A 13481-nucleotide genomic window follows, 5' to 3' on the forward strand; every position below is an offset into this window, starting at 1 on the left:
TGGTATACAGGACTCATCTTTCTGAACAACAGTGTTAATCTAATACAGATGGCTCTATCATCTCATTTCTCATGGCATTCATTTTAATTTTGGTTGCTTAGGTTCATATAAACCATGAAGACAGTTTTAAAGAGCATGTATATAATATCAATGGTACATCTATCTCAGTTACACTGGACTTAAAAATGCAAATTTGTTGAGGAGCCAAGATGGCCGAATAGGAACAGCTCCGGTCTACAGCTCCCAGCGTGAGCGATGCAGAAGACCGGTGATTTCTGCATTTCCATCTGAGGTACCGGGTTCATCTCACTAGGGAGTGCCAGACAGTGGGCGCAGGCCAGTGGGTGCGAGCACCGTGCACGAGCCGAAGCAGGGCGAGGCATTGCCTCACCTGGGAAGCGCAAGGGGTCAGGGAGTTCCCTTTCTGAGTCAAAGAAAGGGGTGACGGACGCACCTGGAAAATCGGGTCACTCCCACCCGAATATTGCGCTTCTCAGACCGGCTTAAAAAACGGCGCACCACGAGACTATATCCCACACCTGGCTCGGAGGTTCCTATGCCCACGGAATCTCACTGATTGCTAGCACAGCAGTCTGAGATCAAACTGCAAGGCGGCAGCGAGGCTGGGGGAGGGGCGCCCGCCATTGCCCAGGCTTGCTTAGGTAAACAAAGCAGCCGGAAACCTCAGACTGGGTGGAGCCCACCACAGCTCAAGGAGGCCTGCCTGCCTCTGTAGGCTCCACCTCTGGGGGCAGGGCACAGACAAACAAAAAGACAGCAGTAACCTCTGCAGACTTAAGTGTCCCTGTCTGACAGCTTTGAAGAGAGCAGTGGTTCTCCCAGCACGCAGCTGGAGATCTGAGAACGGGCAGACTGCCTCCTCAAGTGGGTCCCTGACCCCTGACCCCCGAGCAGCCTAACTGGGAGGCACCCCCCAGCAGGGGCACACTGACACCTCACACGGCAGGGTATTCCAACAGACCTGCAGCTGAGGGTCCTGTCTGTTAGAAGGAAAACTAACAAACAGAAAGGACATCCACACCGAAAACCCATCTGTACATCACCATCATCAAAGACCAAAAGTAGATAAAACCACAAAGATGGGGAAAAAACAGAACAGAAAAACTGGAAACTCTAAAACGCAGAGCACCTCTCCTCCTCCAAAGGAACGTAGTTCCTCACCAGCAACGGAACAAAGCTGGATGGAGAATGATTTTGACGAGCTGAGAGAGGAAGGCTTCAGACGATCAAATTACTCTGAGCTACGGGAGGACATTCAAACCAAAGGCAAAGAAGTTGAAAACTTTGAAAAAAATTTAGAAGAATGTATAACTAGAATAACCAATACAGAGAAGTGCTTAAAGGAGCTGATGGAGCTGAAAACCAAGGCTGGAGAACTACGTGAAGAATGCAGAAGCCTCAGGAGCCAATGCGATCAACTGGAAGAAAGGGTATCAGCAATGGAAGATGAAATGAATGAAATGAAGCGAGAAGGGAAGTTTAGAGAAAAAAGAATAAAAAGAAATGAGCAAAGCCTCCAAGAAATATGGGACTATGTGAAAAGACCAAATATACGTCTGATTGGTGTACCTGAAAGTGATGTGGAGAATGGAACCAAGTTGGAAAACACTCTGCAGGATATTATCCAGGAGAACTTCCCCAATCTAGCAAGGCAGGCCAATGTTCAGATTCAGGAAATACAGAGAATGCCACAAAGATACTCCTCGAGAAGAGCAACTCAAAGACACATATTGTCAGATTCACCAAAGTTGAAATGAAGGAAAAAATGTTAAGGGCAGCCAGAGAGAAAGGTCGGGTTACCCTCAAAGGAAAGCCCATCAGACTAACAGCGGATCTCTCGGCAGAAACCCTACAAGCCAGAAGAGAGTGGGGGCCAATATTCAACATTCTTAAAGAAAAGAATTTTCAATCCAGAATTTCATATCCAGCCAAACTAAGCTTCATAAGTGAAGGAGAAATAAAATACTTTACAGACAAGCAAATGCTGAGAGATTTTGTCACCACCAGGCCTGCCCTAAAAGAGCTCCTGAAGGAAGCGCTAAACATGGAAAGGAACAACCGGTACCAGCCACTGCAAAATCATGCCAAAATGTAAGGACCATCGAGACTAGGAAGAAACTGCATCAACTAACGAGCGAAATCACCAGCTAACATCATAATGACAGGATCAAATTCACACATAACAATATTAACTTTAAATGTAAATGGACTAAATTCTCCAATTAAAAGACACAGACTGGCAAGTTGGATAAAGAGTCCAGACCCATCAGTGTGCTGTATTCAGGAAACCCACCTCACGTGCAGAGACACAAATAGGCTCAAAATAAAAGGATGGAGGAAGATCTACCAAGCAAATGGAAAACAAAAAAAGGCAGGGGTTGCAATCCTAGTCTCTGATAAAACAGACTTTAAACCAACAAAGATCAAAAGAGACAAAGAAGGCCATTACATAATGGTAAAGGGATCAATTCAACAAGAGGAGCTAACTATCCTAAATATATATGCACCCTATACAGGAGGACCCAGATTCATAAAGCAAGTCCTGAGTGACCTACAAAGAGACTTAGACTCCCACACATTAATAATGGGAGACTTTAACACCCCACTGTCAACATTAGACAGATCAACGAGACAGAAAGTCAACAAGGATACCCAGGAATTGAACTCAGCTCTGCACCAAGTGGACCTAATAGACATCTACAGAACTCTCCACCCCAAATCAACAGAATATACATTTTTTTCAGCACCACACCACACCTATTCCAAAATTGACCACATAATTGGAAGTAAAGCTCTCCTCAGCAAATGTAAAAGAACAGAAATTATAACAAACTATCTCTCAGACCACAGTGCAACCAAACTAGAACTCAGGATTAAGAATCTCACTCAAAGCTGCTCAACTACATGGAAACTGAACAACCTGCTCCTGAATGACTACTGGGTACATAACGAAATGAAGGCAGAAATAAAGATGTTCTTTGAAACCAATGAGAACAAAGACACAACATACCAGAATCTCTGGGATGCATTCAAAGCAGTGTGTAGAGGGAAATTTATAGCACTAAATGCCCACAAGAGAAAGCAGGAAAGATCCAAAATTGACACCCTAACATCACAATTAAAAGAACTAGAAAAGCAAGAGCAAACACATTCAAAAGCTAGCAGAAGGCAAAAAATAACTAAAATCAGAGCAGAACTGAAGGAAATAAAGACACAAAAAACCCTTCAAAAAATCAATGAATCCAGGAGCTGGTTTTTTGAAAGGATCAACAAAATTGATAGACCGCTAGCAAGACTAATAAAGAAAAAAAGAGAGAAGAATCAAATAGACACAATAAAAAATGATAAAGGGGATATCACCACCGATCCCACAGAAATACAAACTACCATCAGAGAATACTACAAACACCTCTACGCAAATAAGCTAGAAAATCTAGAAGAAATGGATACATTCCTCGACACATACACTCTCCCAAGACTAAACCAAGAAGAAGTTGAATCTCTGAATAGACCAATAACAGGAGCTGAAATTGTGGCAATAATCAATGGTTTACCAACCAAAAAGAGTCCAGGACCAGATGGATTCACAGCTGAATTCTACCAGAGGTACAAGGAGGAACTGGTACCATTCCTTCTGAAACTATTCCAATCAATAGAAAAAGAGGGAATCCTCCCTAACTCATTTTATGAGGCCAGCATCATTCTGATACCAAAGCCCGGCAGAGACACAACCAAAAAAGAGAATTTTAGACCAATATCCTTGATGAACATTGATGCAAAAATCCTCAATAAAATACTGGCAAACCAAATCCAGCAGCACATCAAAAAGCTTATCCACCATGATCAAGTGGGCTTCATCCCTGGGATGCAAGGCTGGTTCAATATACGCAAATCAATAAATGTAATCCAGCATATAAACAGAGCCAAAGACAAAAACCACATGATTATCTCAATAGATGCAGAAAAAGCCTTTGACAAAATTCAACAACCCTTCATGCTAAAAACTCTCAATAAATTAGGTATTGATGGGACGTATTTCAAAATAATAAGAGCTATCTATGACAAACCCACAGCCAATATCATACTGAATGGGCAAAAACTGGAAGCATTCCCTTTGAAAACTGGCACAAGACAGGGATGCCCTCTCTCACCACTCCTATTCAACATAGTGTTGGAAGTTCTGGCCAGGGCAATGAGGCAGGAGAAGGAAATAAAGGGTATTCAATTAGGAAAAGAGGAAGTCAAATTGTCCCTGTTTGCAGACGACATGATTGTTTATCTAGAAAACCCCATCGTCTCAGCCCAAAATCTCCTTAAGCTGATAAGCAACTTCAGCAAAGTCTCAGGATACAAAATCAATGTACAAAAATCACAAGCATTCCTATACACCAACAACAGACAAACAGAGAGCCAAATCATGAGTGAACTCCCATTCACAATTGCTTCAAAGAGAATAAAATACCTAGGAATCCAACTTACAAGGGATGTGAAGGACCTCTTCAAGGAGAACTACAAACCACTGCTCAAGGAAATAAAAGAGGATACAAACAAATGGAAGAACATTCCATGCTCATGGGTAGGAAGAATCAATATCGTGAAAATGGCCATACTGCCCAAGGTAATTTACAGATTCAATGCCATCCCCATCAAGCTACCAATGACTTTCTTCACAGAATTGGAAAAAACTACTTTAAAGTTCATATGGAACCAAAAAAGAGCCCGCATCGCCAAGTCAATCCTAAGCCAAAAGAACAAAGCTGGAGGCATCACACTACCTGACTTCAAACTATACTACAAGGCTACAGTAACCAAAACAGCATGATACTGGTACCAAAACAGAGATATAGATCAATGGAACAGAACAGAGCCCTCAGAAATAATGCCACATACCTACAACTATCTGATCTTTGACAAACCTGAGAAACACAAGCAATGGGGAAAGGATTCCCTATTTAATAAATGGTGCTGGGAAAACTGGCTAGCCATAGGTAGAAAGCTGAAAGTGGATCCCTTCCTTACACCTTATACAAAAATCAATTCAAGATGGATTAAAGATTTAAACGTTAGACCTAAAACCATAAAAACCCTAGAAGAAAACCTAGGCATTACCATTCAGGACATAGGCATGGGCAAGGACTTCATGTCCAAAACACCAAAAGCAATGGCAACCAAAGCCAAAATTGACAAATGGGATCTAATTAAACTAAAGAGCTTCTGCACAGCAAAAGAAACTACCATCAGAGTGAACAGGCAACCTACAACATGGGAGAAAATTTTTGCAACCTACTCATCTGACAAAGGGCTAATATCCAGAATCTACAATGAACTCAAACAAATTTACAAGAAAAAAACAAACAACCCCATCAAAAAGTGGGCGAGGGACATGAACAGACACTTCTCAAAAGAAGACATTTATGCAGCCAAAAAACACATGAAAAAATGCTCATCATCACTGGCCATCAGAGAAATGCAAATCAAAACCACTGTGAGATATCATCTCACACCAGTTAGAATGGCAATCATTAAAAAGTCAGGAAACAACAGGTGCTGGAGAGGATGTGGAGAAATAGGAACACTTTTACACTGTTGGTGGGACTGTAAACTAGTTGAACCATTGTGGAAGACAGTGTGGCAATTCCTCAGGGATCTAGAACTAGAAATACCATTTGACCCAGCCATCCCATTACTGGGTATATACCCAAAGGACTATAAATCATGCTGCTATAAAGACACATGCACATGTATGTTTATTGCGGCATTATTCACAATAGCAAAGACTTGGAACCAACCCAAATGTCCAACAATGATAGACTGGGTTAAGAAAATATGGCACATATACACCATGGAATACTATGCAGCCATAAAAAATGATGAGTTCATGTCCTTTGTAGGGACATGGATGAAATTGGAAACCATCATTCTCAGTAAACTATCGCAAGAACAAAAAACCAAACACCGCATATTCTCACTCATAGGTGGGAATTGAACAATGAGATCACATGGACACAGGAAGGGGAATATCACACTCTGGGGACTGTGGTGGGGAGGGGGGAGGGGGGAGGGATAGCATTGGGAGATATACCTAATGCTAAATGACGAGTTAGTGGGTGCAGCACACCAGCATGGCACATGTATACATATGTAACTAACCTGCACAATGTGCACATGTACCCTAAAACTTAAAATATAATTAAAAATAATAATAATAATAATAATAGTAATAATAATAAAATAGCTCTGTGGACTCTGAAAAAAAGAAGAAAAGCAAATTTGTTAAGGGTCTGAGGCTAGCTGATGTGCTGATGTGCTGTTTGGTAGCTAGTTTTCTTGATAATAAACCTTTAGTCAGGAAATATACATTGTACACATATATACTGCAGAATGGAAACTATGTTCTTATTGGTGATTGACTTATAATGTCTGCACTTCAAAGATGAGCTGGCATCAGGCACATTTCCCTTAACATTTTTTATATGTGCTGCATCAAAAAGGATTATTGATAAAATCTAAATTCACTTACACTTGAATTTGGTACTTGAGAACTGCAGATCAGTGTATCCACATAGTAAATACTAACCAAACATAAGCTTACTTAAAAAAAAAATCAAGTATTCACTGGACTAGAGAACTCTATTATCTATATAGAATTTGGATTTCCCTCCCAACCACTGACCCAACAATTATAAATAAAACATTTTAAATGAGTCACTGCAAGCTCAACTTTATAGCTGAAGACAGGAAAGTATTACTTTCATTTCTTTAGATAAGTAACTCTACCTATACCCATTTTTTAAATGAATGCAATGACTGTTGTTAGAGCAATATCTCACACTTGGTTGGTCCTAAAGCACTTACAATTTGAGGCTATTGGATGCAGAATTGAAAACACCTTTATATAATGAAGCAAATCTCAGTGGGACTGCATCTCACCTCCCTCTGCACTCATTTTGGCTCAGCTGAGCTCTTCCAAACTCAGAACAGCATAAGAAATGGGCCCAGTGCTTTTGCTAAAGTAGAAATCCTCATCTTTCTTTATTACACTTTAAGTTCTGGGATACATGTGCAGAACGTGCAGGTTTGTTACATAGGTATACACGTGCCATGGTGGTTTGCTGCAATCATCAGCCCATCATCTTCATTAGGTATTTCTCCTAATGCTATCCCTCCCCTAGCCCCCCAACCCCTGACAGGCCACAGGGTGTGATGTTCTCCTCCCTGTGTCCATGTGCTCTCATTGTTCAACTCCCATGTATGATTGAGAACATGTGGTGTTTGCTTTTCTGTTTCTGTGTTAGTTTGCTTAGGATGATGGTTTCCAGCTTCTTCCATGTCCCTGTAAAGGACATGAACTCATCCTTTTCTATAGCTGCATAGTATTCCATGGTGTATATGTGCCACATTTTCTTTATCCAGCCTATCATTGATGGGCATTTGCGTTGGTTCCAAGTCTTTGCTCTTGTGAACAGTGCTGCAATAAACAAAAGTGTGCATGTGTCTTTATAGCAGAATGATTTATAATCCTTTGGGTATATACCCAGTAATGGGATTATTGGGTCAAATGGTATTTCTGGTTCTAGATCCTTGAGGAATCACCACACTGTCTTCCACAATGGTTGAACTAATTTACACTCCCACCAACAGTGTAACAGGATTCCTATTTCTCCACATCCTCTCCAGCATTTGTTGTTTCCTGACTTTTAATGATTACCATTCTAACTGGCATGAGATGATATCTCATTGTGGTTTTGATTTGCATTTCTCTAATGACCAGTGATGGTGAGCTTTTTTTCATGTGTATTGGCCACATAAATGTCTTCTTTTGAGAAGTGTCTGTTCATATCCCTTGCCCACTTTTTGATGGAGTTGTTTTTTTCCTGTAAATTTGTTTAAGTTGCTTGTAGATTCTGGATATTAGCCCTTTGTCAGAGGGATAGATTGCAAAACTTTTCTCCCATTCTCTGGGTTCACTCTGATGATAGTTTCTTTTGCTGTGCAGAGGCTCTTTAGTTTAATTAGATTCCATTTGTCAATTTTGGCTTTCGTTTTCATTGCTTTTGGTGTTTTAGTCATGAAGCCCATGCCTGTGTCCTGAATGGCATTGCCTAGGTATTCTTCTAGGATTTTTATGGTTTTAGATCTTAGGTTTAAGTCTTTTATCCATCTTGAGTTAAGTTTTGTATAAGGTGTAAGGAGGGGGTCCAGTTTCAGTTTTCTGCATATGGCTAGCCAGTTTTCCCAACACCATTTATTAAATAGGGAATCCTTTCCCCATTATTGTTTTTGTCAGGAGAAATCCAAATTTTTAAAGCTGCAGCTTTTCTTGAGAAACATACTATTAAATCAGTAACATAGGGCTAGTATTCTACTTGTAATTATGAAGTAATAGCATGTCCTGGGAGAGCTTGTTGCTTATAACAGATCAAAATCAAATAAAAAATAAAGAAAAAAAGACTTAATTGAAGATCTAGGGTCTGAAGGTATTATATTGTCTGGGATTCAGAAGACATCACATGGATTGATTATAAATACCAGGTTTCATTAAAAGAATGAGCCCCTGGAGAACATCTTTCCAAAAGGCAGGTGTTATAGACTGAATGTTTATGTCTCCTCAGAATTTGTATGTTGAAATGTAATCTCCAGTGTGATTTGGAGGTGGGGAAATTTAGCTGGTGATTAAGTCCTGAGGACAGAGCCCTAGTGAATGGGATTAGTACCCTTATAAATGGGACTCCAAAGAGTTCTTTCTACCATTTGAGGACACAGCAAGAAGAACACCATCTTTGAACCCGAAAACTGGCCCTCACCCTATAGTGAGTCTGCTGGCACTTTGATCCAGGAATTCCCAACCTCCATAACTGTGAGAAGTAAGTTTCTGTTGTTTATAAGACACCCAGTCTATGGTGTTCTGTTATAACAGCACAAGCAGACGAAGACATGAGGAATATATTAGTTCATTTTAGAGTCATTCTTTCAACAATGCTTTACTGAGTAACCATTCTATATGTGAAGAAATTTCAAACAGCCCTAGCTTAAATATACCTTCTACTTTCCCCTATCTTTGATAAAAGTTTTGAAACTCCACCTTCATGTACAATGAATAAAAGTTTAATATTTTTGTTTTGAACTGTTTGTTGGTAAGTATTGTTATATATTTTGAAATGGATTAGTAATTGGAGTAATTTTTTCTGTTTATTTCAAGTCAACATTTATGGTAAGCTAGACTTCTTGGATAAAATCTTCAAAAATTAATTTTAACTCTATATTAAAGGATTCATGCTAATTCTAATAGTCCTAAATGACTTGAGGATTTATGGACTTGATAGTTTCTTGATACCTTACAGGAATTATAGACAACTTAGGAATTATCCTAAAAGTACTAAATAAAATGATGGCACTCCCTTCCTACAGATCCACTTTAGAACATATTTAAGAGTGTGAGTTCTGGAGCCAGTCTTCCTGAGGTCAAATTCTGGCTCTACCACTGGTGAGCTGTGTGACTTTGGGCAAGTTATTTACCTCTTTCTGTTTCAGCTTCCTTGTCTATAAAATGAGGCTAATAACAGTGCCTGCCTCATTGAGTTGTTTTGATGGTAGTGAGTTAACACACATAAAGCACTTAGAATAATGGATGGTACATAAAATACCCAATAAATGTGAGTTTTTAGTCTTTTCAACCCCATCTTCCCAAATGTGTACCTGAATGGAAGAAAGGTAGATTTTAAGGTCAGAACCAATTGTGTGGTGCTAGTTCCATTCTGCTGAGCAGCCTTGGACTGACCTAGGTTAGAGAACTTAAGAGTACCCCATTTGAAATCTGCCAGGCCACTTTTGCTTTAGTTTTCTCTTTCAGTTTGCTATTTTCCTCGATTTAAATGTCCTCAGATGGTAATTCATCATTCTGCCCATTCTTCTACCAAATGTGCCTCATAGTAATCACTTAACTCCAATATGCTCTGGGCACTGGAATCCTTGAAAATTAACTCCTTTATGGATTCCTCTCTGAGTGCCTCATGGAACAAATTATACAGTAAAGAAATCAGTTGTTCACTGAATTTTAAATCCAGCAATTAATTTACTTAATCTCTAACTATTTAGTTAGGCTTTATTGTTCACATTCGATGTGCTTGATCTTAAACTCTTCAGAAATAAAACTGAGGGAGACTGCAGATCAGTCTGGTTAATTTAGAATATCCATAAGGCAAGATTCTATAAGAAAATACAATATATTATGTAAATTAAGATATAGCACAATTATTGTATATAGTTCAAATAAATAGAAAGACTAATAATATATCTGATGCCAAGATTAACCTCATCTCCCTATTCATATTTTTTGACATGGAGTTATAATTTGAGGTTCCAGAGAGTGAAAAAATGTGGTATTCAAAGTTGCTAAATATTTCAGTATCAAATGGTTGGAAGGAAACTTGAGAAGTTATTTCAGGCCACATCTAAAATGTCCCAAGCAAATATAAATGTACATGAATCTTAACCATTAAAGAAGCTCCATATCGCCACAGCCAGAATAAGAGAATGATAGCTCCATCAGACAAGGGAACTTCACTTTTTATAACATTTCCTGACTGCCCATGACTTTCACATGCTAAAGTTTGCCTTTTCAGATTTTTTTTTCCTATTGGCCATTCAATATTTCCTTGTTTTCATACTGATTATCTTTCAGAGTGTAGACATTGGATTTAAGATTGATTCCATTCTCTGAGAGTTCTGCAAAATGTATTCTGTTCTTCCTGATGCCCACTTGGAAACAGAGACACAGAAGTTTCTCCACTTGGAAATGGAATAGAAAAGGATTGAGTATTACAAGGGACAATGTATTAGCCATGAAGAAGAGAGTTGTCCAAGATAAAATATTTTTATTTTATAGAGGATACTAAGTATAGTTGATACTTGAAGATTTGCTACTAGGTTGCAGCAGGTTCTTTTTCTCCCCTCCAGTTTAATTAGTTTAGAGTGATAAGAAGGAATTCCAAAAAGACGGCTGTGAAGATTTGTTATTTTAATTAGCCAAGTGTATAAAGAGGAAAACCATCATCTAACATGAAGAAAACTGAAGGCAACTTAAACAGTATCAAGAAGAGATAAGACCATCTCACCAACAACACTAGGCTAAATTAAGAGTTTTATTGGCTAATGCAGACTCATAAAACAACTGAAATGTTCTCGGTGTTTGTACATGAGAAAAGTGCTTTGCAGGTCTCCAATACTGATGTCCCTGCAAAGCAAACTATCTCATTGACCCTATGCTGAAGCTACTGGAATAACTTCCAATGGTAAGAAAAAACACCATGGCAACTGCCCAACATGTGTGCACTGTACATGCCCATTTATAAATGCCATACAGCATAAATACGATTTAAATGGGAGTAGAATAGAAGTAGAATTTATTATTGTGTTATCAAAGCAAAGCATTTAGAAGTAACTTGGCGTTTCTTATGGCTAGAATGTCAAATAGTTCACATGATCTAAACTGAGATTTTATGTGCATAATTTTAGATTGATTATCATAGATATGTTTTTCATATTTGGCCCAGGTTTCCTTTGGCTCAGATGTTTTAAGTGCTTTGTGTGCATGGCTTCTGCTTTAACATTGTGCTGTGTCTATTTTGTGATCTGTTATTAGTATTATCAATTGGAACTCAGGCAAATTTTTACATAAAATGAAGGCAAGAAATGAAAATCGTCAATATCTTTTAACTGTTAACCCAGGCCTGAGGTAGTCTGCATATGCATCTGCTCTGCATTTCTAGAGATTGCTGTTTTTCTACCGTAGCTCCCTAATTACACCTTCTGGGAGACAGGAATTTGTACCATTTTGCCCTTCATTTGCATCATCACAGCAACTCTAGCCTTCATGTCCCTTTGCCTGGTAAGTTGCAGGGTTTTGGTTTCTGCACACTGATTATTCAGCCAGGCTCGCATCTCCTTGGAAGGCACCAAGGACGTTGCTATTCTTCCTTCGGGCTTACAGCACACACTTGAAAAGACCCATCTTGCCTTCCATCCTGCTCAAACAGTGGTGCAAGACATCCTCTCAGCCCAGTTTCACCTTTCTGAAGACTGGAGTATGCCTACATAAGAGCTAAACGCACAGACATCTTGTTGAAGGCTGAATACAGCCTGGCATTCACTGGAGAGTTAACCCTTATGAAGCATGCCTTGCAGCTTACCCATGGGTATGGCTTTCAGAGCAGGTTCATTATTTTCCTTATTTGCCAGAGGTAGTAAGGTATTCAGCGTCTGTCCTAGGGCTATAGGAGTGTGCTTTCTCAGTGTATGTATGTCTAGGGCATTTAATTAGCTACCTGTTTAAAGTGTTGCATTGATCATAAAAAGATGGTTAATCTAGAATATATATATATATATATATATATATATATATGCTTATAAATTCCTACATGAAAGTTAGGTGAGACTGCTTTAAAAACTATGAAAGAACTAGCTGCAATTCTGAAGAAATCAGGTTGATGCAGTGCAAAATGAAGTCTTCGGGGACTGTCAATTAATTATCTGAAAATTTACATAATAGCAATGGTTAAACTGGATGATTTAAATGAAACATTTAGATTGTTGTGGTTGTATATACTATATCTGAGCAATTCATAGAACTCAAAGCAAAACGTTCATAAAAGCCACATGAAATCCAACTCCCTGTGGGATTTGGTCAGATATGATGTTCTTACGGTTTGGTTTTTAGGTACTTTTCAGGTTGGAGAATTTTCCCACCAAATTCTACTTGACTAGAATAGTTATTTTTGTATTACTGATCATAACTTAGGAAACTTGTCTAATTTGGTTCAGTTTCAACTAACCATAAAACATATGTCCGGAAATTGCCTTCATCATTGATCAGACTGAGTAGGAAAGAATGAAAAGAGCCCTTTTGGCCTAAGAATTTAACAGTGAAAATATCCAGGCCAGGCACGGTGGCTCACGCCTATAATCCCAGCACTTTGGAAGGCTGGGGCAGGTGGATCATATGAGGCCAGGGGTTTGAGACTAGCCTGGGCAGCATGGTGAAACCCCGTCTGTACCAAAAATACAAAAATTAATCTGGCATGGTGGCAGGAACCTGTTGTACTATCTACTCGGGAGGCTGAGGAGGGAGAATTGCTTGAGCCTGGGAGGCAGAGGTTGCAGTGAGCCAAGATCGCGCCATTGCACTCCAGCCTGGATGACAGAGCGAGACCTTGTCTCGGAAAAAAAAAAAAAAAAAAAAAAAATATGTGTATATATATATATATGTATGTATTCAAATAGGCTGTAATGGAACAATTTCATTAGATGTTAATTTATACACAGTTCTAGTACACATTAAAGTAGCACTTTTGCAAAGAAAATATATAAATTAAGTATACTAAAACCTAATGCATTGTAATGATCTGTAATCACCATTTGGCAAACACACAATTCATCCATGGTCAGAATGTGTGGCACCCCCC

General features: G+C 39.1%; 1 annotated feature.

Annotated features, from left to right (window-relative positions):
• Window positions 486–1069: an enhancer, noted in NCBI's record as "NANOG-H3K27ac-H3K4me1 hESC enhancer chr6:98864666-98865249 (GRCh37/hg19 assembly coordinates)". NCBI's record gives its function as "activates a minimal SCP1, AML or CMV promoter by ChIP-STARR-seq in naive H9 embryonic stem cells {active_cell/tissue: H9 hESC(naive)}" and the evidence as "EXISTENCE:reporter gene assay evidence [ECO:0000049][PMID:30033119]".

Source organism: Homo sapiens, chromosome 6 (genome assembly GCF_000001405.40).
Source record: "Homo sapiens chromosome 6, GRCh38.p14 Primary Assembly".
Lineage (NCBI taxonomy): Eukaryota > Metazoa > Chordata > Mammalia > Primates > Hominidae > Homo > Homo sapiens.